We start from the raw sequence: 27,244 nt of genomic DNA, 5'->3' as shown, positions 1-27,244 counted from the left end.
GGGATTATGGGTGTGAGCCATGGTGCCCAGCTGGATCATGTAACCTTGGTCATGCGCAACTCACAATTCATCTCAAAAAACCTGAAGTTCTTGGGGGGCACTTCCTCATTCCTAGTCTCTGAAGAAATACATGAGAACAACCAGGCCACCAGAGGTGGAAAGGGACACACCAGACCTCAGCTTGCCAGAGCTCACTTTGACATCTGGAAGAAATCACCCTGTTGCCCTGAGCCTTAGCTTCCTTCTCTTGATTTCTCTCCTCCCAATTTTTCTCCTTTCCTCAGTGGCTGGCATAAGAAGGGGCACCTTTGTGGAGGTTGGGTACAGGCCCAGAACCTTTGCTTTTTTATTTGTTTAAACAGATGTGTGTGAGTGAGAGAGTCAGACAGACACCAGGATGAGAATTAACCTGTACTTGGTATAAGAGGAAGGTGGCACCTTTAATCTGATGATGCATAGCAAGAGAACTTGCCAGCAAAGAAAAAAGAAACTTAGAATATGTTCTGGCTGCGTAGATGTAATAATAATTACTGTCTTTTGCATGATCTGATGATCATTATCATTTGCAGCCCCCAGATTATAATGAATCACATTAAATTATAACAAAATAAGGCTGGGCGTGGTGGCTTACGCCTGTAATCCCAGCACTTTGGGAGACCAAGGTGGCAAGGTGGGTAGATCACTTGAGGTCAGGAGTTCGAGACCAGCCTGGCCAACGTGGCAAAATCCTGTCTCTACTAAGAAGTACAAACATTAGCCAGGCATGGTGGCGCATGCCTATAATCCCAGCTACTTGGGAACCTGAGGCAGGAGAATCGCTTGAACCCGGGAGGCGGAGGTTTCAGTGAGCCGAGATGGCACCACTGCACTCCACCCTGGGCAACAGAGCAAAACTCCATCCCAAAATAAATATATATATATATATATATATATATATATATATATATATATATATATATATATATAACAAAATAACCTTATTGTCCTTTTGTTCCTTATTCTATCCCTAAAATCAGTCTATGACTATCTTTATAGATGTTGCCCCGACATTGCAAACTTTGCAGACTGGCCGGGGCCAGGCCCAAGGGTGGTAACATTTGTATCCCATCCAGGCTGCAGATTTCCCCTGTCCTCCCCACCCAAGTCGTCCATTGTTGCCGAATGCATCGGCCATTGAATGTGTAGGGCTGTCTGGTTTCAGTGTGGTTAACTTTGGGAAATTATTGGACAGAACCACTGGGGAAGGTGACAGAAGGCTAGGTAGAACAGCAGAATTCATAAACATTCAGGGTGGACTACCGGGAAAGCTGATGGGCATTTTCTCTGCGTCTGCCATTCTTTTCCATTTCTCACCACAGGGAAGAGAAGCCGAGGGAGCTCTGGTGGAGGTTGCCAGGGAGAAGTACCAGACACGCCCTGAAATGGACAGCTTTTGTTAGGGTGGAAAGACAGGCTGCCAGGAAATGGGGCTCCAAGCAGGGCCTGGGGACTGGAAGCCCCTGGGAACTTGGAATGCCAGTCCAGTCTTTGTTTCCTAGAACAAGGGAAGGAAAAGATGAAGACTCACAACTCTTAAGGACTCCTAGGATGTTCTTTACCATATCTTGGGGCTTGAGATTTCAAAATTGTTTTCATTATTTTCATAACTTTTGCCCTAAACAAAGTAAGATCTTTTTAAAAAATATTGACTGATATACATAATTTAGCATTTTAATAAAGTGATTTATTTTTTGTAGAAAAACTTATTTATTCTGATCTCTTGGTAACAAGGCCAGAGGGAGCCCAGGTGACCAGATCACATGCTCTGGGCCAGCCATCACCTGTCCCAAGGGGCTGACATACCTAAGGGACAGGCCCAAGTCCTGAGGAGGCAGATGTTACCTCACCCCTGAGGGCAGAATAGAGCTTTCAAAGCAAAGGTTACTTCCAGGAAATGCATAAAAAGAATGGCAGCCTGTGTCCTTCCTCACATGAGTTCACTCACGTGGCATTTATTGAACATCCACTATGCCGGAGGCTCCACACAGGGCACTTTTTATCTTCCCAGCCACCCTGTGACGGATGTGGGATCATCCCTGTTTTGTGGGTCAGGAGGCAGAGGCTCAGAGAGAGCTGGCCCTGCCCAAGGACTCACTGTGAGTGTGGCAGAATTAGAATTCAGACCCAGGTCACTGTGAGAAACACAGTGGACTATCAGACCTCTTGCCTCAAAGGCAGCTTCTGGCCTAGGACTGGAGCGGAGGAGACAGAAGAACACTGAGGTCTTCTGGACACGAGGTCTGCTGTGCATGACTCGTGGGGAGTGTTTGTGCCAAGCTCTTTGCTAAAGAGGAACCTGCGGGGCCCTGAGCAGGGAGGAGGGAAGCAGGGTCTCCGTGTGGGAGCTGCTGGAGCTGGTCTTGCACAGCAGGCACCCTGTTCTTCCATTTGTGGTGCTTTGAAGGGAGTTGATAGAGCCTATGGGGGCAGCTAAATCCCTCCCAAGTCAGCCCTCAGCCCACTGCCATGGTTCTAGCTGAGAACTAATTACTAACCAGGGAAGAACCAATTAAACTAAATGGCTGGTTCCCACCTACTCTGGGGTAACCCTTTCCTGGCCACATCCTCCCTTCTGGCTTGGAGATACCAGGGCCCTGAAGACCCTGATTCTATTCCCGGTCTGTCACTGGCTGGCTGTATGTTGGATAAGCCCCAGCCCATCTCTGGCTTTCTCCGTGTATCCCCTCAAGGCTACTGGGCTGGGTGACCCCTTGGGCCAGTGGAGCTCTAACTCTGGTTCTGCAATTCAGTGCCAGCTCTGAGTATGAGGCCAAGCCAATAACACTCCCAGCCTGGAGACAAGCATGCTGCTGGTGAGAGGGGCTGCAGGAGTGAGATGGGGGATCAGGGGCTCTGCGACTGTTGCCCCCAGAACTGTCCTGGGTCCCACATGCAGGATCTTCTCCAGCCTACCACCTCCTCTCCTGGGAGGCATTCCTGGCCCCCTACACCTGAGTGCAACCCTCCCTGGGGGCACAATGTGGGGGAGGGGCATGCTGGCTCCCTTCTTCTGAAGATGTGCTTGGCTCTGGTTGCCAAGCAACAAGGATGGGGCTATCCTGCACTTCTGCTTCCAGGAGGTGTGTCTTCCACACAGAGAGGAACCATGATTAGGACGACAGGGCAGGTGACACCTCCCAGGTGCTCCTAGCCCAGGGGCACCCCTTTCCACAGCCTGGTGGGAGGGGTAAGCTGGGAGGGCAGGGAAAGGACAGAGCCAAGAGGGGTATATGGTGTCCCCAGCAGACCTAGGAGGGCTTAGAGACCCGGCCCCAGCCCCAGCTCCCACCCCCACCCCATCACCATATTGGTCCTCCTGCATCCTGGGCTTCCACCTCAGCCCACCCCTCTGCTGAATGGATGGTGTTGGTGTGCAATGGCACCACCTGTGCTCATTTTCCTCACCTGTGCAGGAAGTTGATCATTACCTTGTTGGGGTTCCAGGAAGATCAAGTACATCTATACATGGCATGTGATTAAGGCTCACATGATAAAAGCTCAGGTGATAGGTAATTTTGTTAATGAAATAGTAACAGCAATCTCCATCTCCTCCCTCATTGCAGAAGTAGGGTGCGAGATTTTGAGAATCATTGATCATTTCTGTATTGTGAACTGTGGGGTCTACATCCTCGTGATCTGGCAGGAAGAGCTGCTCATCCCATTTTATAAAGAAAGCGAAGGTCTGCCAGGTGAAGGCTTTTACACAGATGGAAGGACCCTTTGACTCCCTGGCCAGTGTTTTCCCCAGCTCCCCATCCCTGCTCAGAGACAGGCTGGCAAAAAGTGGGACAGACTCACCATGCCTGCTCCTCTGGGGCCACCAAACCTGCTCAGGGGAAGAGTACCTCATCTTCACAGCTCCGTTACTTCCTGTAAGGAGCTCAGCCAGGGTGGAGTATAAGGGCAGAGGCTTTGCAGCATTGGGGTTATATGCCTTCAGATGTGTGAGGTCGGTAGTACTTGGCCCACAATAAGCAGGCAACAAATCTCAGCCAGTATTAAGATTAGTATTACATACACAAGCAAGGCTATGGGCGTGATGTGCTTGGAGGAGTCAGGGAAGGCTTTCTGGAGGAGGTTTTGCATAGTGAGCAGGAACTCACCAGCAAAGAAGGGGAGGCACTGAGGGCAGAGGGCCTGACCATGCCCAGGCAGTGAAAGGCTTGGGGTTTCTGGGGAATCGGGTGTGGTTCAGGGTGGTGGGATTCTGGTGCGGGTGGAGAAATAGTGGGGGAGAAGGGGTTGAGCCTGGGGGAGTCAGTAGGGTCAGGCCCTGGAGGACCTCCCTGCAGGCAGTGGGGATCCACTGGGGAGTTTTGACCCAGAGGGACATGCTCATGGATTAGAAGGTGAAGGCAGAATGTGTTCTGATTGGAGGCAGGAGATCCAGGTGGCTGAACTAGGTCAGAACAGAAACGTTCCGAGGATGGAATTTATAGAGAGGGCTTGTAAACTTAAGCTTCCTTCCAGTTCTGAAGCTCAGCTCCACTGCAGATGTATATTTTCTTGATTCTTTCTCTTAGAATGAGGCCTCAGGAACAATGAAGGATTGTAGGGGAGGGACTATTGTCTCTCTCTGCAAGGCCACACTGTACGCAGATGGACCAAAGCTAGCCCCTTTAAGCTCCCCTGTCCATCCTATCTCCACAGTGCCCTGGGTTCCCTGACTGCTCTGGCCTTCCATGGGTGTTCTGCGGGACTGCTGGCAGCCCTTCCGGACTCCTCCCTCTCTGCTACCTGCTCAGGTTGGATGTGGCATATGACCAGAAACTGGCCATTGGGTGTGTGAGCTCCCCTATCCTCTGGTCATTGGATGTGTGAGTCCCCCATCCTCTGGTCATTGGGTGTGTAAGTCCTCTGTCCTCTGGTCACTGGGTATGTGAGTTCCCGTCCTCTGATCATTAGTGTGTGAGCAGCCCATCCTCTGGCCATTGGATGTGTGAGTCCCCCGTCCTCTGGTCATTGGGTGTGTGAGTCCCCCGTCCTCTGGTCATTAGGTGTGTGAGTCCCCTATACTCTGGTCATTGGGTATGTGAGCCCTCCCTCCTCTGGTCATTGGGTGTGTGAGTTCCCGTCCTCTAATCATTAGTGTGCGAGCAGCCCATCCTCTGGCTGTTGGATGTGTGAGCCCCTTGTCCTCTGATCATTGGTGTGTGAGCAGCCCATCCTCTAGCCATTGGATGTGTGAGTTCCCCATCCTCTGGTCATTGGGTGTGTGAGTCCCCCATCCTCTGGTCATTTGGTGTGTGAGTTCCCCATTCTCTGATCATTGGTGTGTGAGCCCCCCATCCTCTGGTTATTGGGATATATGAGCCCCGCCGTCCTCTGGTTATTTGGTGTGTGAGTCCCCCGTCCTCTCATCATTGGTGTGTGAGCCCCCCATCCTCTGGTTATTGGGATATATAAGCCCCCCCGTCCTCTGATTATTTGGTGTGTGAATCCCCCGTCCTTTGATCATTGGTGTGTGAGCCCCCCATCCTCTGATCATTGGTGTGTGAGCCCCTCATCCTCTGGTTACTGGGATATGTGGGGCCCCCTGTCCTTTGGGCACTGGGTATGTGAGTCCTCCATTCTCTGTCATTAGGTGTGTTTGTGTCCTGTCCTCTGGGCACTGGGTGTGTGAGCACCCCCGTCCTCTGGTCATTAGTTATATGAGGCCCCCTAGCCCTGTTATGCAGCTTCCTGTCCCTCCCTGTCTCACTGGACTTCTCTTCCAGTGGACACTTGATCACTTCCTTTGCTTTCTTGGATATTTTCCCCTATGCCTGTCTGCTGGGTTCCATCACCCCAGCAAGCTCCGGAGTCCCCAAGGACTTGAGAGAGAGCAGCATTGTAGAAGGGAGTGCCCCTTTCCATGCCTTGGAGAACAGAGACCCATCTTAAGCTGGCTGCACAAAAAGCTAAGGCTGAAAGCCAAGGGGCCAGAGTAGAGGCAGACACTGCCGTTTTGAACCCTCCCCTAACCCAGAGAAGGCAGCCTGTTCAGGTCAATTGGTGCACCCCCCTGCTCACGGGTCAGCTCATGATCTGCTTTAAGTTTTGAAACCCCACCCTCTAAAGGCCTGATGACTTTTGCTCCCTGCCCTTCCTGTTCTTCTGCATAGGCAGTGCCCACTGGACGTTACTGAGCACCACCTTGGTATTCCTTTGCCAGTGTAGCTGGTGCATGGAGTAATCCTAATTTTGCAGCATCAATGATTACAGCATTTTTCAGTCACCACCCTTGGCCTCTTTGAGCAGTGCCAGGTTGTGAGTTCAGGGTGGGTAAGGAGAGCTGCCCCCTCATCTTGGTGCTCAGCAGAGGTGGCTCTTCTGCCTGAAGCAGCTGGCCCAGAGAAAAACTGGTTTGGAAGGCTGGGCCACAAACAACACAGCCCAGCTTTGACCTCTTCCAGCCTCCTCTGGTCCCTCTGTTTCCCCCAACCCTGGGGCAGGCAGGAGGAGGACCATTTTGGCTCAGGATTGGAGAGCTGCAACTTTGGCCTGTGCACCAGGGACAAGTCCCTAGAGATAAGGAAAACCTTTCTCTCTGGGAGTGGCTGTGCTAATTCTGAGAAAGGAAGAGAAAATGTTCTTTTCTGACCCTGTCTGTGAGTGGGGGGAATAAACACTGCATAGACTAAACAGTAAGTGAGGCACTTAGAACACATTTCTTGTTTCTTTCCCCTGTTCAGTAAAAGAGGAGGGCTAAGAGGGCAAACAGGGGAAGCAAGGGGCACTGGGGAAGAGAGATCCATAGAAGTGCTGAGACCGAAGGGAGAGGCTCACAGACACTGCTTCCTACCAGACACAGATGGGGGCTTGTTGGCCATGCACAGGGCCCTTGGGAGCCAGGGTGGGTCAAGGTCCGGGCAGGGTGCTGTCCATCCCAGGGTCCTAACCAAATTTAATGAAAGGCTGGAGGTTCCCATGGAGCCACTGATGAGTATGGGGGCACAGGACGATGGACCAGTTCTGTGTTTGTGTGGAGGACAAGATGAGGAGCTCCAGCCCAGCAAAGCAGGGGAAATGAGAAGAGAGAAAGGCTGTTACCTTGCCTTGGAGGTTGAGGGAGGGTGTTTTCCAGCACACTGCCTCTGTGCTGCCAGCACTGGCTTTGAGGAGCAGACTGAGCTTTGTCTCTTCCTCCCCAAGGCTGTCTGGCTCTGCCTCACTGTGACCCTGCAGTTCCCAGACTGTCTCTGGGCTGCTGTGAGTAGAGTCAGGTCTTGGCACTAGTGATCTTTGTTTGGTTCTGCACTTCTGTGAACAGAGCAAACCTCCAAAGGGTTTCTTTTGGGGGAGAAACCACTCCCAAATTATTTTAAGGATATTAGCAAATCCTACTTGTGGCACCAAGATCTGGAAATTATCCCCTGATTCTGATTCATTAAATTCCCCTCCCTCCCCTACATTCAACCCAAACACTGCAGGCTGCTGCCCAGATTAGAAGTGAACTGGAGACCTGAAGAGGTACCTAGCTAGCCACCTGACCCTGACTCTCACCCATCTTCATCAGAAGAGGATAGCACCCCAGATGTTGGGCCAGAAGAACTCAGCTCCTCTCCTGCCTCTATCATGTAGCAAGAAGACCACACTCAGCTGGAGTTGTGGCCTGGGCAGCTGTGTCTGCTGGTCCTTCCACCTCTGCCTGGGGGAGGGCTGGGTGTGATGTGGGAGAACTGGATAGAGCAGCATGCAGATGCCCAGTGAAGCACACAGGCAGGACTCAGCCTCTGCCCAGGCCAGCTAGGAGCGCTTTAGTCTCAAGGCAGAGACCTGTGAGGTTTTGTTCCAGGTGATCAGCCCGGTTCACCACAGTGGGAGAAAAGGCAGAGGTGGAGTAAAGAGTAAAGGCTGCATCTCTTAGGAACCTGACTGTGAGATGGTGTGGTAGACACAACCTAAGGTGACCCCAGGTGAGTCATACCCTTGCATAGCCTCCTCCCCAGAGTGCAGATGGAACTTGTGACTTGCTTGTAGCAAATATAGTGTGGCAAAGGTGATAGGTGGCATTCCTTCAATCAGGTTATGTTGTACGGCAAAGGTTCAAAGGTGATGGGATAGTCCCTCCCATGATTATGTTTCTTTATGAGACTCCTCTTGCTGGCCTTGAAGAAGTAAGCTGCTGTGCTGAGAGAGGGCCTGTGAGGGGGTCACGTGGCAAGGGATGTGGGTGGCCTTCAGGAAATAAGAGCAGCCCGTGGGGGGAAGTCCTACAACCACAAGGAACCAAATTCTGTCAACAAGCACACAAGCTTGGAAAATGACTCCCTGATCCAGAAAGAAATGTAGCCCAGCTGACACCTTGATTACATCCTTGTGACATGCTGAGCAGAGGATCCAGTGAAGTCATGTCCAGACTCCTGACCCATGGAAATATGACATAATAAATGTATTAATATATTGTTTTAAGCCACTGAATTCCTGGTATTTGTAAAAGCAACAGATAACTAATACAGATAGGGTGAAGATTTTAGAGGAAGGTGACACCTGAGATGGCCTCATTTTACACAGAAGACATTGGAGTGTCCAGGAGGAGCTGAGACCTGTCAGGTTAAGTAGCCAGCCTGGTCCAACCTGTGAAGCACTCATTGGGGTCAGGCCCTGGTTCTTGATCTGCTATTGTTCTTTCTTCCTGTTCTGTCTTTGTGTTCTGAGTAAACCCTCCTTCTTTCTAGGCCTCAGATTTTTCCTCTGTGGCATGCAGGGCTAGACCACATATTCTCTAGGCCCTTCTTGCCATGACGTGATTTTCTGAGGTCACTCTGATCATCTGTGATCCTTCTAGAAGCTGGGCCTCCAGGCATTAGTGTGGTTCACTCTCTGCTGCTCCTTGGCACTTCCCATGTTGTGTGTTTCCATTTGGGCCTCATGACACAGGGACACATTGGTAAGCCTTCTGGGCTCAGATTAGTGGCAAAAGCAGGAGTAAGAAGAGCAGTCTCTGAGGTCAAGCCCTTGGCTGTGCACCGAAAGAGATAGTGTCTGGCCATGACCCTGGTGCTGTGTGATCCTGGGCAAGTGGTCCCTCTTCTGTGGCCCCTCTTCACATCTCCTCTGATAAGATCAGCTCCAGTCTCCTCTGTGGCTCATCTATAGTGCTGCTTTTGAGAAGGGCTAACCTTAGGGACCCAGAGCTCGCAGCATGGGGACAGGTGAGCCTGGCCACCATCTCCTTGCCCTGGTGCCCAAGCATCCAAGTCCAGTGGGGGATATGTGGACATTGACGCAGCTCCCCTTGATCCACCCCCCAGCCTGGCCCTTTGTTGACCCTAATGCCTGACCAGCAGTCTCAGTCCATAAGGGCTAGAGACACAGTGGGCCTCCTGGCCTGCTTGGTGGTCCTGTGCCTACTCCCGGGTCCAGGGTCCTTGGGATCTAAGTGCATTTTCCACCCCAGAGTCAGTGGTCTTCATCTCTTAAATTTCACTGGAAAGGCCATCACTACTCTTGAATCAATCCTGAGCAGGTGACATTGAGTCCTTCTGGGGGCAGGAGGAGAGTTCTTTCTGTTGACTGAATGAGAGGTCTAGAAGTTCACTCTGCCCCTTGTGCTCCCCTCACCACCTGGCTCTGCAGGGGCAGGGGCAGGGCCTGTGCCCTCCTCCTTGGCAAAGTAGAAAAGTTGAGCAGCAGCGAGCAGGCTGTGTGAGGGTGTATGGAAGGACAGGAAGAGAAGCTGGGGCTGCAGAAGTGCAGGGACAGCTTCCTGTGTTGATGGAGACCGCAGGGCTTCCTGGGTTAGCAGGTCAGCACTATGGCTGCCAAGGCCAAGGGTTCCTCTGAGAAGGGGGCAGGCATCCGGGATGATGCCTTGCCTGCATCAGCCTGCAGTCTAGAGGCCTCCTTCCACTTGCCTGAGCAAGCTTTGTCTCATGGCGAGGCCACAGCTGTGTCATCACTGTTGGGTGTTACGGGCCCATTGGCCTTGTCACAGACCTTCTGACTGGGTCTCAGCTGACAACCTGGGAAACACAAGTTTCGCTCTCAATACTCTGTTTACTCATTCTCCCTGCCTCAGCCTTCTTTTCCTATTACTGAGTCTTTTAACATCAACACTACTAGCAGTTAAGCCTTGGGTATATAAGCCTTGGGTATTAAAGCATATACATTACTTTGCCAAACTCCATGCTGGTTGGATGGGCCAAGACTTCTGTCAGTTAAATAAGCTACCAAGTTACATTAATACTAGCCTTGTCAAAGATCAGATGGTGGTGGGAATTTAACTTCCTCCTTCTCTACAACTATGCATACTCACTGTGAATTAATTCTTCACAGCACCCATGCAACTGCTCAAATGCACAGGCAGGATTGGCCTGTGTAGGGTCTGGCCAGAGTTGGGTTGAGCCTCAAACCAATTGAAATAGACTGTATTCTGCCTGCTTCAGTCTAGCTCTCCAGGGAAGCTATGGCAGAGGGTAACTGTGTGTGCTAAGGATGTAGACTCTTGTTCTCTGAGCTATGAGAATAGGGTGGCTAGCATTCAAAGCTAGCTGGTGCTGCTGCTGCTCTTAGGTCCAAGAGGAAAGATCCTGCTCCTTTTTGAAGCTGCCAAGTGTATGTGAGAAGGCTTAGCAAGGCAGAGAGGATTCAGAACATAAGTGAGCTGACCATGGAGGTATGCAGTCTACACAAGCTGTTTGGTCAGATCTCAGGTGATTTTCAAGTAACCCTGAAGGTATTGCCCTTGACTGTCGGTCCTCATAGCTAAGACACTGGGGAACTAAAGAGTTCCTACCATACCAGGGCCTGTGATGCCTGCTGAGTTGAGCATGTGTGTGTATGTGTACTTGCATGCATCTCTGTGCATGTGCAGACATGGTGGTTACACATGGACCCTGGCCACTGAATTGATTGATCCAGGCTTTCTGTCTCCTGGCCTGTGGTTAGAAGGGCGCAGAGCAGTTCTCCAGTGCCCAGCTAAGTCTTGGTCCTTCATGAAGCCTGAGTTGATGCCAAGTACAGTTATACTCTAGTTCCTTAGGAAAATTTCATGCTGACCAGAATGTTTAATTAGTCAGAACAAGCCATTTTCTGAATGTGCTAGGAATCTAAGAAACATGGATGTGTGCGTGTAATTAAAATAATTTTTTCTGTAACTTTTTATTTTGACACAGTTTTAGGATTATACAAAGACTTTACATATGCCTTTCACCCAGATTCCCTGAATTTTAACTTGTTACTGCTTTCATAGAATTCATAACAATTCTGTGAGATAGGCATTTTTGTCCTTATTGGATGTATGAAGAAAGCTGAGCCTCAGAGAGAATAGGAACTAACCCAAGATCACACAAGAAATGAGTGGCAGAGCCAGGATTAAAACCCAGGTCGGTCAGACTTTAGTGCACATGCTGACCCCATGTGATGTAAGTGTGAATGTGTGGGTATCCTGCTCCTTCTGCCCACAGAGCTTTCTTTCTTGTATTGTTGATCTGCTAGCAGTGAATTGTCTCAACATATGCCTTTATTTCACCTTCATTTTTGAAAGATTTTTGCTAGGTATAGAATTCTGTGTTGACAATATTTTTCTTATAGTATTGCAAAGGTGGCACTTCATTTTCTTCCGGTTTGCATAGCGTCTGACAGGGTAGCAGATATTTCTCTATGTTTTCTTAGGTCTGTGATCTAATATATTGTTGCTAATTTTGTTTAAATAGTCAATTATCTTTTAAAGAGACTCAAATAATAGAAAGATCTTACATACACATGTAGTGACCATTTCCTGTGTTCATCATTCCATTGTATAAATCCGCATTTCCATCTGGTTTCATTTCACTTCTTCCTGAAGGACTTTCTTTAACATTTCTTGATGTGAGAGTGTGCTGGTGATGAATTCTGTCAGCTTTTGTATGTTTGAAAAAGTCTTTATCTCACCTTTGTTTTTGAAAGATGTTGTCCCTGGACATAGAATTCTAGGTTAACAGGTTTTTTTCTTTCAGTACTTTATAGATATTGCACCATTGCCTTCTTGCTTGCATTGTTTCTGAGGAGAAATATACTGTCCTTTTTATGTTTGTTTCTCTGTACATAATGTGTCTTTTTTTCTCTGACTACTTTTATGATTTTTTTTGTCACTGACTATGCAATTTGACTAAGATGTGCCTTGCTGTAATTTCCTTTATGTTTCCTGTGCTTGGGATTTTTGAATCTGTGGATGTATAGTTTTCTTTAATTTTGGAGTATTTTCAGTCATTTCTTCAAATATTTTTTCTGTCACTGCCTCTCCCTTCATCCTTTGAAGACTCCAGTTACATGGATGTTAGACCACTTGACATTATCATAGAGCTTACTGGTGTTCTTATCATTTATTGTCATTCTTTTTTCACTGTGTTTCACTTTAGGTAATTTTTATTACTGTCTTCAGGTTCATTGATCTTTTCTTCTGCAACATCTAATCTGTTTAATCATGTCAGCCAGTGTAGTTGTTACCTCTGGAAGTTTGATTTGTGTCTTTGAAAATCTATTTTTTACCCCGTGTAACTTCTTAAACATATTATACTATATGTTATTATACTAACATATAGTATATAGCATATATTCTATATATAATAACTAAGTTATATATAATATATATTATATAACAGTTATAATATATAATAACTATTTCTTAATATCTTTATCTGCTAATTATAACATCTCTGTCAGTTTGGGGTTGGTTTCAGTTGATTGTTTTTTCTGCTCTTTATGAGTCTATTTTCTTGCTTTTTTACATGCCTGATAATTTTTTATTGGATACCAGACATTGTGATTTTTGCCTTGTTGTGTGTGGATAGTTTTTCTGTTCCTATAAATATTCTTAAGATTTGCTAGCTGTGGCCAGAGTAGGGCTCAGTGTATGGCTAATTATTACCCACTGTGAGGCCCAGCCCTTCTGAGGACTCTCCCCAGCATCCCGTAAATGATGAGACTTTCCACTCTGGCTGCTGGGCAAGAGCACAGTCTCCAGCCTGGTGTGGATGCCAAGCACTGTTTCCTCTAGTCCATTTGGGCAGTCTTTCCCCAGTCTCAAGTAGTTTCCTCATATACATTTGCTGATCAGTGCTCAGCCGAAGGCTTGAGGGAAACCCTTTGCAGGTCTCTGCCATTCCCTTTCTGCATCTCCCTCTCTCTGGTATTCCATCTTCTGAACTCTAGCTGCTGTGTTTTCTCTGAGCCTCAGCCCTATCCTTTCAACCTAGGGTTTCCAGTGGGTTTCACCTGGGTCCCCACTCCCTGTGCTGTGGCCTGGAATTTTCTGAGGGCAGTAATCTGTGGGGCTCCCCTCCTCTGTTTCATGTATCTCAGGGGTCATCATTACCTAATATCCTGTGGCTTGAAAATTGTTGTTTCATATATCTTGTCTGTCTTTTGGTTGTTTCAGGTTAGAGGCTAAATCTGGTCCCTGTTACTCCATTTTGACCAGAGCTAAAGTCTTGGGACCTTTTTTTTTTGTGTGTGTATTCATTTGTTTATAGGGAACATCAGTCTGGGCAGGCAGTGTTGCGTGGTCTGGTTATCAGCCTTGATTTTCATCTGGGATGTTCATCCAGTTGATTGTATAAATATGTAGACTTGCCCTCCAAGTGGCAACAAAATTTCTGCACTCCAGACTCTTTTTGAGAACTTTCTGCTGCCCAGCTCTTATAAAAAGCTCAATATTGGCAATTGATATAGTTTTATCTCCTGAACACTGTGAATCTTACCCTTGGTTGTGCTTCTTTTTTTCCCCTTTGACTGCCAGGGAGCTTAGACAGTTTCTTAGTCTACCTTCAATAATTAGGGAAGATTTTTCAAGATTTTTTTTGTAAGCAAATTTGTGGTCCAGCTTTCTCTTTTTAGCTTACATAACTTTTGCCTTATATTTTATCTCTCTCAGCATTTGTAGTTGTGAATAAGAGAGAGAAACTCTCTCTATACAGCAGATTTGAGCAAGCAGTGAATGTATTAGAGGAATGATTGGGAAGTTCATAGAATCCTTGGGAGGGTCAGAGATCTGGGCTTGGAGCAGCAGCCCGAGTCATATAGAACTGGTCCGGGGGAGACACAGCTCCTATGCTGTGTTCTGGCAGGTGCCAATGTTGAAATGCATGTCATGGCTGCCCCTGAATTTAGAATACAGAGGGAATTCTCAGTCTCACCAGATTCATGTCAGTTGAATCTGGTAGAGTCTTACGTGAACATCTGTTGGGAGAAGCCTCAGTTATTTGCCTACAAAATAGCTGCAGAGGAGGCTCCTACACTGGGGAGAATGGTTTTGGACCTCCCCAAACACAGTAGGGGTATTCAGAGGGATTGGGAGGCTTTTCATTGTTATTGATACATAGCTACTTTATTCTGATACTATTTTAAATAATTACGTTTTCAAATCTTATTTTCATGAGTCATAAGTACAAGTACTCCTTGTGCACAGTAGTCGCATGCCGGATAGTACTGCCTCTCCCTCCACACGAGTGCGTTCGGTTCTCCTCTGCCTGATTTTGAAGCTGGGGTTGACTCTTGGCACCAGCGTTTCTTAGGGTAAGGTAATGGGATGCATTCTGTGGGCAATGTACCCCAAGTCATTAGTCCTCACAGCAGACTTGGCTGTAGCAGGTAGGGAAATGGATTGTCCCTAGTGCCCTGAGTGTCTGCTTCAGGCTGGGGGACAAGAAGAAATCTCAAGTCAGGTGTGGACTCTCAGTTTAGAAGCCCCAGGGCAGGGATGATTTGCAGTGTCCTGAGAGCTCATAAGGCTCTATGGGAGTATGGAAGGGCTGAGGCCAAGACTGATGTGCAGGCTGGGCCTGGGGGCTTTGGAAAGTGAAGAAGAAAAGCTGGAAATATCAAGTATATATTATTATTAACTGGAGTCACCATGCTGTATAGTGCGTCTCCAGAACTTCTCTTATAACTGCAAATTTGTACCCTCTAATCAGCATTTCCTCCATTTCCCCACCTCTGACCCCTGGTAACCACCCTTCTACCCTGTGCTTGTATGTGTTCTACTTTTTTAGTTTCCACATATAAGTGAGATCATGCAATATTTGTCTGTGTCTTGTCGAGTAGATCTTAAGTATTCTTAACACATGCACACACACACACACGTGTAACTGTGAAGTAATGAATATGTTAATTAGCTTGATTGTGGTAATCATTTCACAATGTATATATAGTCATGTGCTGCATAGCAATGTTTTGGTTAACGACAGACCGCATGTATGAAGGTTGTCCCATAAGATTATAATGGAGCTCAAAAATTCCTGTTGTCTAGTATTGCCTATGCTATACTTTATGTTGTTATGTTTAGAGTGTACACCTTCTACTCACTTTTTTTAAAAAGGGAACTGTAAAACAGCCTCAGGCAGGTCCTTCAGGAGGACCTCCAGAAAGCAGTATTGTTATCACAGGAAATGACAGCGCCGTGTGTGTTACTGCCCTTGAAGACCTTCTAGTGGGAGACGGAGAGGTGGAAGACAGCGATATTGGTGATCCTGACCCCATGTAGGCCTAGGCTAATGTGTATGCTTGTGTCTTAGTTTTTAACAAAAAAAGTTTAAAAGGTAAAAAAAAAAAAATTAATAGACAACATATAGAATAAAGATATAAAGAAATAATTTTTGCATAGCTGTACAGTGTATGTATTTTAAGCTAAGTGTTATTACAAAAGAGTCAAAATGTTAAAACAAGTTAAAAAGTTTATAAAGTAAAAAATGTTGTAGTGAGCTAAGGTTAATTTATTATTAAAGAAAAATATTTTTAAATAGATTTAGTGTAGCCTAAATGTACAGTCTATTGTAGTGTAATGTCATAGGCTTTCACATTTACTCACCACTCACTGACTGACTCACCCAGAACGACTTCCAGTCCTATGGCTCTGTTCATGTTTTATGTTTTTTACCATACTTTTACTGTACCTTTGCTGTTTAGATATGTTTGGATACACAAATACCACTGAGTTACAATTGCCTACAGTATTCACTGCAATAATGTGCTGTGCAGGTTTGTAGCCTAGAAGCAATAGGGTACCATTATAGCCTAGGTGTGTAGTAAGCTGTACCATCTAGGTTTGGGAAGCATACTTTATGATGTTTGCACTACGACAGAGTCACCTAATGATGCGTTGCTCAGAACTTATCCCTCTCATTAAGCAAAGCATGACTATAGATAGATAGATGGATGACCCTTGAACAAGATGGGTTTGAACTATGCATATCCACTTAAAGGTAGATATTTTTCAGTAAAATTCACACCAGTGTGCCTGCCTGTCCTGCCTCCCTGTCCACCTCTTTCACCTCTTCTCTGCCATTTTTGAGACAGCAAGACCAACCCTTTCCCTTCCTCCTCCTCTTCAGCCTATTCAACGTAAAGACAATGAAGATGAAGACCTTTATGATGATCCACTTTCACTTAATGAACAGTAAATCTATTTTCTCTTCCCTATGATTGTAATAACATTTTCTTTTCTCTAGCTTATCTTAAGAATAGAGTATATAATACATATAACACAAAATACCTGTTAATCAACTGTTTATGTTATCAGGAAGGCTTTGGTCAACAGTAGGCTATTATAATAGTTAAGTTTTGTGGGACTAAAAAGTCGTATGAGGATTTTTGACTATGCAGGGTATCAGTGCCCCAACTCTTGCCTTCTTCAAGGGTCAACTCTCTATATATTAAAACGTCACATTTTACACCTTGAATATATAAATTTTTTTGTTTATTGATTGTACCTCAGTAAACCTTGGGGTAGAGGCAGGAAGAGAGGAAGCTAGAGAGGAAAAGAAGAAAACCAAAGATGATAGCACCTTTTGCAGGGCAGGAGAGGGGGCCGAGCCCTCCTCTGTGGCGGCTGGGGCTTTGGTCAGGTACCTGAGGATGGGGCCTCTCCCAGCCCAGCTGTGCTGGCAGCATGTTTCTCTGGAATTTGCCTCTTTGTGTTAAAGGTGGAGCCTCTGGGGGAAAAAAAGCAGGAGGAGGTCCAGGGTGTTGGTATAGGAAGGAAAACTGAGACTAAATCTTCCAGTCTCCAGCCAGTCACCCTGTGGAGCCCCAGCAGACCGTCATGTCCCCAGCAACCACAGAGCTGCTGAAAGTGTTCAGGAGGAGCTGGAGGACCAGCCATCCTGGGAACACTCCTGTCTAGAATCTTAGTTTTCGTGATGACAAGGGACCTTTATTTTGCCTTTCCTTTTTCTGCTCTTGTCCATGTACTGTTACGTGGATGGGATCCTTTAGGATGCACTCGCCCTGTTCCTTCTTGCTGTAGTGGGCAGGCTTACTGGGCCCCCTGTTTGGATAGAGGAGATGGGGTGGGTGCAGGATAGTGAGACGGGGCACTCAGTGGAGAAGTGAGAGGGTCAGGCATCGGTCCGCCTCCTAGCTGGTGCAGGAGAAGGGCCTGGGCCAGACCAGCCTGTGCCACTGTCTGGCTAACCCCTCCCTCCCTCACCTTCTTTTGACTCCTCCCTCCCCTCTACCCTCCCCTTTCCATCTTCTCTGGATCCCTGGGTGAGGCCCAGGCGGCTGAGCGTCCTCTAGCAGAGGGAATTAACACACTTAATTAAAATGTCCAATGAAGAGCTTTGCATATTTCTTAATTACCATCTGAGTCTTTTGGGGGATGGTTTGAAATGGGGTTTTTCACGTGTTTCCTCATTTAGCCTACGGTGAGCCAGCCAGCCCCTCAGGGCTCTAGTGGGAGCTGCCAAAGATGCATGCCCAGTTTGGGGCTGCCTTTTGGAGTCCAGGGTGGCAGGGTAGGGTGTGGAGCAGATAGCCCAGCTACCAAGCTTACCCACCTTTGAGGAAGAATAGGGCTGGACTTTCTGTTTGGTGAAAACAGAGCCAAAGGAAACAAGGTTCAGATGGATATAGCTGGTGTCTCTAACTGTTTCACTTGTCACCACAGGGCCTGGGGGCCGTACCTCACAGTCAGGCCAGGAATGGTAGACTATGAGCAGAGGTTACAGGGATGGTGCAGGCCTCACCCCAAGGGCCCTGTGCAGCAGGGATGCGGGTAGCCTGGCCTCCTTCCCAGCTGCATGGCAAGGGCCGAGTCCCTCTGCAGGTCCTTCCTAGCATTTATACCAGCAATTCCCACTTCTGTTCTAGAAACTGAGCTGATGGGATGGCTGAGTCAGCGGGTCTCTGCTAGGACTGGGTTACTGGTCTGCACAATGAGGAAGCAGACTTGCCTTTTCAGCCCTGAGCACCACCTTCTGAAAGCTGCAGACATTATCTGAAATGGGCCTGGCTGCTGGGGGCTGTGGGCCGGGGATGCAGAGATTCTTTTCCTGGCTCAGGGACTGATTTCCTGAAAACACAGGCATCTGAGAGGTGGGCAGCCCACCAAGATGGCTTAGAAATGGCAGTGAGTTATGCCACATCTGTCCTGCCTGCCCTCTCCTCCCGGAACTCCTGGGGCCCTAGGCCCTGAGCCCAGCTCTGTGGACCCCAGGAGGATCAGGATCCCACTGTTTGGCCAGGAGCTCTGAAGAGCTGGTGTGTGTGGTAAGTGTGGATGCACAGCCGAGAGCAGACTGTGGGCCAGGGTTCTGGCTTGGCTCTGTGAGGGGCTAGCTAGTGGGTGGTACACCTTCTGCCAGGTCCTGGCAAACCCTCCGTGCAGTCTCTGGCTAATGTCTGTGCTCTGCCCCCTGCTCTCCCCAGTTTCTGGCCCTTACAGCAGCCTCTCCACCCACACCCACACCCGCTGTGGAGGCGACAGGGAGAAGAGCTGTCCTTCGTGGAGGGAGGCAGTGTCAGTGGAGGAGTCTGGGGACTTACTGCCCACTCAGCTTTCAGACTGTGATGTGGGCACAAGACAAGACCAGAAGTCCTCATAGCCACTGGCCCCAAAGCTGTGGGTGGATTTGGCGTCACGTGGCAGCTGTGGAGAAATGTGGGCAAATGATTTTAAGCAGAGGAATCTCAGCCTCACATGACTGTCGTTTCATCCAGTCCCTTCCCCGGGAATGTTGTTCCCTGTGACCCCCTCATCTCCATCAATCAAGGCTCAGCCCAAATGGTGCCTTTTTCAGGAGGTTACTGTGATTTCCCCAGCAGAGCGGCCTTTCCTTGCATGGGCCTCTCAGGAGACCCTTCCCGTATTGCCTGGCATTTTAGTATTTGGATCTGGGTCTCACTTCACCACTGGATATGGACTGCTTGAGGCCAGAGGTGCATCTGCTTTGTCACTACAAATTCTGTGCCCTGCACAACAGGACTGGCACACAGTGAGCCCCAGTGGGTGTTTGCTGAGTGGCTGGAGAAGCCTCACTGGCCTCTGCAGCTACCTAGAAACCACCAGAATGTACAAGAATCTGTTTACCTGGGACCTGCCAGTGAGATGGGGGCCTGGGGCCCATGGGGCACTGGTGGAGTGAATGGCCCCTGTTGGTGAGGTCCAGGTAGGCAGTGGTAGCTGATTGTGAAGGGCCAGCATCCAGTGCACCCTGCATTGGTGGGATTTCCAGGGTACATGGGACCAAGCTCCTCTGGACATCCCCATGGATGTGCAAGACCCCTGGGCCAGTAGTTCTCACTAGGGTAAGAAAAATAACTGTTTCATGCTGATGCCAATAGTGAAAAATAAGCTTACATCTTTAGGACAAGGGATTGAATGATTATTGTTAATTGTTTTTTCTGAATGCAGTGCTGGCATTTGTGCTTTTGCTCTGACAATTATGAAGAAGGCTTTTATGAGTGACTGAATCCAAGGTGATTGCTTGGTGTCTGTTCCTTGTCCAGTTGTCTTGGGCTCAGGGGATAGCTCTAGCATCTAATGGTCATGAACCCAGGTCACAGGGAGGAGTTCTGGGCTCCTCTCTGAATCTGACCAGTCACTGGTCCTGTACCCTGCTCTCCTCCCCATTCTCTCCAGCCCCACCACCTCTGCATTGTTCACTGAGATCCTCCATCTCTGGCAAGATTTCTGCCCCTAGTCTGGCTTCTGTAGGCCATTCTGTAGCAGAGTGTCCCCACCCAAATCTTACCTCGAATTGTAATCCCCATGATCCCCACGTGTCAAGGACAGGACCAGGTGGAGGTGATTGGATCATGGGGGCGGTTTCCCCCATGCTCTTCTCGTGATAGTGAGGTCTCATGAGATCTGATGGTTTTATAAGCATCTGACATTTCCCCTGCTTGCCCTCACTCTGTCCCGCTGCCTTGTGAAGAAGGTGCCTGTTTCTCCTTTGCCTTCTGCCATGATTGTAAGTTTCCTGAGGCTTTCCCAGCAATGGCAGACTGTGAGTCAGTTAAACCTGTTTCCTTTATAAATGACCCAGTCTCACGTATTTCTTCATAGCAGTGTGAGAATGGACTAACATGTTTTCTTTTTTCTAAAGCACAGGTCTATTGCTCTGATTACCTAATGCTGTGTAACAAACCACCCCAAAACTTAGTGGCTCAAGACAATAAAAATATTTACATCGCTCACGAATTTGTAGTTTGAGTAGGACCTGGCAGGGAAGGTGTGGCTTTGTTCCATGCAGCACTGAAGGCGGCTTGAAGTCTGCCGGCTGGAGTCACCTGAAGGCTCGCTCACTCACAGGTCTGCTGGTTGCTGCATGCGTGTCTCCCTCCTGTAGGCCTTCTTGGGCTTCCTCACAGCATGGTTGCTGGGTTGCAGGGCTGGCTTCCAGAGTGTGTCAGTGTGAGCACACTCCAGGCAGAAGCTGTGCTATTTTTTCTAAGCTAGCCTTGGGATTCCCACAGGGCCATTTCTGCCATAGTCACAGGCCTGCCCAGATTCACCCCCTGATGGAATGTCAGGGTTAGATTGTAAGAAGAGCACATGGGATGGGAAATATTTTATGAGCCCACTATGGAAATTATGAACTGCCACACCTGTTCACACCATCCTGCTGAAGATCCTTTCTGAAGCTCCCACTGCCCTTGGGCGAGAATCCATGCTCCTCCATGTGGCTGACATGGCCTGTGCCATGTGGCCCCTGCCCCTGCCTTTGTACTTCTCTCTGTCTGCCCCTCCCTCCCTCCACAACTGGCCCCAGAGATGGGTTTGGCTTAAATCAACCTGACAGCCACATGGAGCTTCCATGAACAATGTTTGCTACTCACTCTTCCTCACACACTGTCTGGCTTCACTTGCCCTGAGATGAACCTCAGTCTGAGGGGCCTCCAAGTGTGTCCCCCATAGCAACCTAGCCTGTTGCCTTCTGTTTCTTCTCACGAGTGTTTTCTCTCCCTGTCTCTGTGCCTTTGCACACATTGTTCCCTCTGTCTGGAATTCCCCTTCACCCCCACCCACAGCCTTTCCCAGTCCCGTGGCTGCCCTGCCTCCTCCTTGCAGGTGTCCTGACTGCCCGGCCACCTGCACCCCTGCCTTTGGGATCTGCCGCTTTGCTACTGTCAGACCTTTACATAAACCAGCACAGCAGAGTGATGAGGCATCGACTCTGGCTCAAATCTGTGCTCCTATCCCAGCTCCACCACTTCCCAGCTCTGTGACCTTGGAATAATAACTAACTCATTGGATCGTGATGAGGATTAAATGAGAGAACCTAAATAAAGTGCCAAATTCTCATCTGCTGCTGAATAGAGGCCCAGTAAGAGTTTGAGTTTCCTCTCCTTCTTTCTAGCATCTCCTGGTAAATGCTCAGTAATGAATTTTCTCACCCTCATTTGGTTGAAAAAGGAGAAATGCATCTCCTTGCTTAATCATGTGGGACTAAACTACCAGAAGATTACAAGAACATTGCTGAGCCATGAGCAGAGAGAAAATAAAAAAGCTCAATAATGATTTGCCTGCTTATTTTTAATAAAACCTGCCAGTGGAGCTGAATCTTTGTCCTCAGAAAAAGCTCCTCTTTGCTGCAGTGGTGTCCGAGAGCTGCGGTAGAAGCACAGCGGTGTGACCTTGAGAACAGAGCTGGCAGGAGGACAGCTCCCGCAGAAACTCCGGCAGCTGTTGCGAGGCAGGGGGACACAGGAGGAGCTCCTGGCTCTTCCACCTGCCAGGCTGCAGGCCTGCTGGGATGCCCCATGCTACTGCTCCTCTGAGGCTGAGTGGGAGTGCCTGGTCAGGTGGCTCGGGATGGGTTCTGCCCACCCCTTATGGTTGGGGGACTGAGAAAGTAGCCAGGTAGATGCAGTGTGCAAGTTCTCCATTTGCAGGTTCTAGCACCTTCCACCCCGGGCAGTTGTTGAGGGCAGGTGTGGGCTGAGGAAGGGGTCTTTGCCATTTAGAGGGGAGAGGAGCTTAGCACAGCACAACCCCTTACCCACCTAGCTCCTTTATGTGATACCATGGGCAGAGGCTGGGCAGAAATGGACAAGAGGAGCTCCTTTTAATAAGCTCTGCCTCAGGTCTGCAGACACTTCCCCAGAGACAAAGCATGGAGGACAAGGGTCTCGGATACCACTGCAGGGGTGTAACACACATTACCCTGGCAGAAGTGACGAGGGCATGGGTAGTCTTAGCGGGCTCTGAGGTGGGGAAGAAGGCTTCAGCTCCGAGAAATGAGAAAAATGAGCCTAGAGGAATAGTGTAAAGTCATTGCCTTTTGCAGCAAAGTAAGAATGAGTCCCTCATCCATTTCAAGCCTGAGTTGGGGTGCTGGGCCCCAGATGTTAAAACCCTCACTTTCTGAGCCCTCCTTGTACCCCACAAAGCACTTCCAGGGCACCTCAGTGACCAGTTTCTGACCTTTCAGATTGGATCAAGCCCCTACCAAGTGGGGAAAGGCCCCCAATTCCAGACTTGGCCTGGGACGGGCTGTTCCCTGGAGCGCCACAGCAGTGGCAATAATGACCTGGCAGAATTCTGAACCCAGCATGATCTATCAAGGAGTACCCGGATAAGAACTGAGCACCTGGTCATGCAGCCACATCCCAGCCCCACTCAGCTCTGACCCTGGTGCAGGAGCTGTCACCTTAATGCCCGTTGTGTGAAATGTGGATGACATTAGTGCCACCCAGAGTTGAGGGCTGGGAGGTATGGTACCCAGTGTTGCTGCAAGCTTCAGTGGGCAGGTGCCACGTCTCCTCTGTTTACTGTTCTCATGTCAATTCTGTGCCTGACTCAGCCCCTACTATGTGCCTGGAACATGCTCTGTAAATGCTGGGGTCATGTGTTGCCTATTATGGTGACTGCGGGAATGCATAGAAAATATCAGCTCTGGCCAGGACCCCACACCTAAAAGCTCCTCCTGCACAATTCCCAGTAAAAAACTTTCAGGGGATGTTTTCCTGCCCCCTAGACCTGTGAGCAAGTGCTAATCCACTGCCAGTGGCTGGTGTCTCATGGAGAGGCACCTTGGCATTAGAAGGTGTTGCAGGGATTTCCAAGTTTTCAGCTACTCCATGAAATTTCTGTGCCCTTAGTGGCTTTTTGGGACCCTGCTTTCTCTCCTCTCTGTGCTTGGAGGCCCTGGGGAGAAGAGACTCAGTGTCTTCCCATCCATCTCCCCACCCTGATCCCTGATGCATGCACCTTTCCCTAAGGTGCAAGACGCAGAGCGTCGCTGCCTAGGGAAGTGACCAGCGTGCCCTGGGATGCCTCTCTTCCCAAGGAGGCAGTAACTTTCCACTCCCTTTCAAAAAGGAGGATGCTGTGTTTTCCCCAATGCATCTGCCTCTTGCTAGTTCAGGGTTGCCCCACTTTCCCCTCTGTGGTCCTCAGCCAGGTGCCTGGGGCCTCATGGCCTCAGAGCTGATCCTCCAGGTATGGGAGGCCCCCTACTTCTCACCTTCATGTGAAATTTAAGGGGAGATTTAAAGCAGTCAGAATGCTCTTTATAGCCTCGTTTCTATCAGAAGTTTAGAAAAGGCTGCTTCCAGGTAAAATTAGAAGAGATCTTGGGCACATTTCTGCTCACCCCAGAAATGTTGTTTTAAAAATGGGGCTGTTCTGACACCAGCTGGTACCCTACAATTCACTTCTGGCACTGACCACCCAGAGTTGGCGTGGTGGTCAGCGTTCTCCAACAAGGGCAGAATCCTGACCTGGCAGAATCCTGAACCCAGCATGACCTATCAAGGAGGACCTGGATAGGAACTGAGCACCTGGTCAGGCAGCCACATCCCAGCCCCACTCAGCTCTGACCCTGGGCCAGGAGCTGCCACCTAATTGCCCATTGTGTGAAATGGGGATGACTTGAGTGCCGCCCAGAGTTGAGGGCTGGGGGTGGTGGTGATACATATATTTTTTCCATCTGATATTCTGGAAACTGCCTTACCTTGCTCAGTTACCTGCTGCCTCCTTCCACTTTTAAGCATTTCCCATGTGCCTTGTACTTTTTACCTGATTTAATTCTTACTACAGCCCCCTGAAGTCTTTGATGTTAATATACTCATTTTCAAATGAGGAACTGAGGTCCTGGGATGGTGATAACCTCAAGGTGACACAGCTGAAAAGTACCCCAATAGGATTTCAATCCAGCTAACCAAATCTGGGTTAAAGATGGGGTCTTCTGAATTTAGCCCAAACACAGTCAGTCAGATGCTCCTTCTGGGTAGAAGATCATCTTTCCCATAGCAAATGCTGGCTGCTGGGAGCTGAGTGCACTTGTCTGTTATGTGGTGCACTCTTGAGGCCTCAAAGCTGGTAAAGGGCCTTTGCCAAGGGGTCCTGTTGGCTTGTCCTGCTCCCTCCAGGGAGTGACCAGCCACCCCACCAGGCACAGCTTGTGGATGTACTGCCAGCCTGGGAAATGGGAGGGTGAGGGTACTTTTGTTTTGCCTGCCAGCATTACCTGTCCTCCTGAAGCCTAGTGCAGAAAGGGCTCTGAGCCAGCACAGCTGGGCAGATTCCCCACTGAGCCTCCCAGGGTCATGGCAGAGACATGATAGGACAGTACAGACAGGCATCCGTGCAGGGCCCGTCCTAATGAATGTCCCTTGACTGCCCTCTTCCCCCACCCCAGATGGTTAGAAATGCAGCAGTTGGCATTTCTGTCACTGCCAGGCCCCAGGGGAGCTGCACAGGGTGAGGTCAGAAGCCAAATTCTACAATTTGGGAAATTAGCAGCATTTGTAGGATTCCCAAGAGACGTCCTGTTTTCTCTCAGCTGTTCCAGTTGTTCTCAGTTGGGGTGTCACTGCCCCTACAGGGCATTTGCAGATGTGTGAGTGAGTCTACAGTTGTCACAGTGACTGGGGATCCTCCTGGCATTTACCTAGCGGGGTTCCAGGTATGCTAAACATCCTGCAATGAGCTGGACGGTCAGATACACAAAGAATAGTCCTGTCCATGAGAGACATGGGGAAATGACATTTGCCTCCCCGCCCCTGGTTCCTTAGAAAGCCACTGTCCCCACCAATCTTCAGGCTGAATTAACAGGAAATAAAGGGCAGGCTTCCATTCCAGTGTATGACCAACAACAAGGTGTACATGGGCAAGTACGAGAGGAGCCTCCTGTTTTGCACCCACTTACCTTGATTCTTTATAGATGGTTCTTGCATCAGCTGGGTTCTCCTGGGTCAAGGAAGACCTGGATTTGGGTAGTGGAAATCCATGGGGCAGTGGGATACCTCCTCCTTGGCAGCACCCTGGTGCCTGGCAGGAACAGCCCTCAGCCCACCTGGTATAGAGACTCGGTGGCCTCACCACGGGGTCCCTAGCAGGGGCCTGTCTCCCACTTCTGTATTTCTGCAACTCGGCCTTTCCCCTGTGCTTTTTGGTTTTGTTATCTTTTCTTCAAATGCAGTGTGTTTAGAAGAGCCTAGCTCAGATGCCATGACTGAACACCTCTCTCCTTGTTGTTTTGCAGTCGGGAAGACGTCTCTGATTACGAGGTTCATGTACGACAGCTTCGACAACACATACCAGGTGAGGTCCTGGGTGCTCACCCTCCATATCATCTGGCAGTGGCTGACCTCTCTTTGAAACTTGCTGAGCTGGGGTGGGAGTGGAATGGCCCTGGGTTCCCAGGCTGTCATTTTGCTATGGAGGAGCTTCCCACCTCTATACTGGCCCCATCCCTGTAAAGAGCTTGAGCCCTTCTGAAAATCCACCCCTCGGTAAAGGGAACATTTTTCAGAGGAAAATTCTAAAAATAGAGAGAGTCTGTGTTCTCTTGTTCCTCACAGGCAGATCCAAACCATGATAGTGTTTGGTTGTTCAGGGGAGTCATCATGTGGAAGAGGAACAAGATGAAAATGAGAGTGTTAGGCGAACTTGCGCCTCATGCATGGTTGTAATGGTTATGTTTGCTGGGACCTTCTCTCTCTCTCACCCCCGCCCCCCCCCACACACGCACACAAACACACACACGCGCGCACACACACACACACGGTTGCTGAGGCACTTCCTTCCCTGGAGAGGCTGGTGCGATGAGCTTGCCCTGCCCTACATGGGCAGGAGGCTGGATGCGGTGACCTCTGCAGCTCCTGGCCCTGGAGGCGTAGTCTGGGGTCAACCAGAGGCCCAGAGGTGGTTCCAGGTGCCCTGAAGGCCAAGTTCTTGGGGGTTAATAACATGTCACTTTCCTGGCACCACTGGTGAGTAGGGAGGTTTGTGCAAGTAAAGTGAATTTTCCATGCAATTATAGCTTTTTGCAAAAGGCACCAAACTTAATCATTTCAACTCTTTTAAAGAAAAAAGGTGCTGTTTTATTCCTTAGATAGAGACAAATGATAATGCATTTTTCTACACTAGTGGATTCTGTGAGATACTAATTCCAAGAGGTGTTGGTAGGTGTTACTTGAAAAAAAGTTGAGGTAGGGGGTGGTGGGTTCAGAGCTTGTACAGATTTAGGGAACACTGGGTGAACAAAAGTAAATCTACTGCTGTGCTGCAGGGCTTCTCGGAGCCTGACTATATCAGTGTATAGTTTTGATTTACTGAAAGAGGGATATAGTGTGTAGGATCTCTCAGATGTATTTGATCATGGAATCCCTTGGTTATCGAGTTCTCAAAGGACAAATATTTATAGAACACAGCGGGGACTGCTGTTCTAAGACGTCCCTCCTCCTTTCTGGATTTACAGAGTATGTGGAGCACAGCTCACTGCAGACTGCAGCTCTGTATCTACTTTTTAGTCTGTCTGTCTCCCTCTGGACCAATTATCCTCCTTGCCTTAAATACAGCCCCTCTGTCTGCCTCTCTCTCATTTTTACTCTTTCTTTGCTGTGGTCTCAATTTTTACTTTACCTCTGCTTCTACTCTGCTATGGTCTGAAATACTGGCTAGCCAGTGGACTTGGTGAAACTGACCATAGGAATTGACAGAGGCTCTGGGAGAGGGGCCCTGGCTGATGTGCACAGCCTCAGGTGTGGACTGTGGGATGTTCACCTTGGTCAC

The 27,244-nt window shown here is 48.8% G+C and overlaps 1 protein-coding gene across 2 annotated transcripts in view, besides 1 other annotated feature; it reads left to right on the top strand.

The window, feature by feature from the left end:
• RAB6B (RAB6B, member RAS oncogene family) overlaps nucleotides 1–27,244 on the top strand; it is a 71,648-nt gene that overhangs the window by 5,528 nt on the left and 38,876 nt on the right. Inside the window, exons 2-3 of one of the 2 annotated variants that reach the window (NM_001363953.1) lie at nucleotides 4,690–4,820; nucleotides 25,713–25,771. In NM_001363953.1, coding sequence (NP_001350882.1) covers nucleotides 4,790–4,820; nucleotides 25,713–25,771 — 90 coding nt within the window. In that variant the 5' untranslated portion in view covers nucleotides 4,690–4,789. The remainder of the gene's footprint in view (nucleotides 1–4,689; nucleotides 4,821–25,712; nucleotides 25,772–27,244) is intronic. The other variant, NM_016577.4, reaches the window with a different exon arrangement.
• Nucleotides 9,812–9,891: an enhancer, noted in NCBI's record as "active region_20560". NCBI's record gives its function as "activates an Ori minimal core promoter by ATAC-STARR-seq in GM12878 lymphoblastoid cells {active_cell/tissue: GM12878}" and the evidence as "EXISTENCE:reporter gene assay evidence [ECO:0000049][PMID:35858748]".

Source organism: Homo sapiens, chromosome 3, assembly GCF_000001405.40.
Source record: "Homo sapiens chromosome 3, GRCh38.p14 Primary Assembly".
Lineage (NCBI taxonomy): Eukaryota > Metazoa > Chordata > Mammalia > Primates > Hominidae > Homo > Homo sapiens.
Note: the sequence above shows the minus strand (reverse complement) of the source record. Positions and strands in the feature narration are given on the sequence as shown.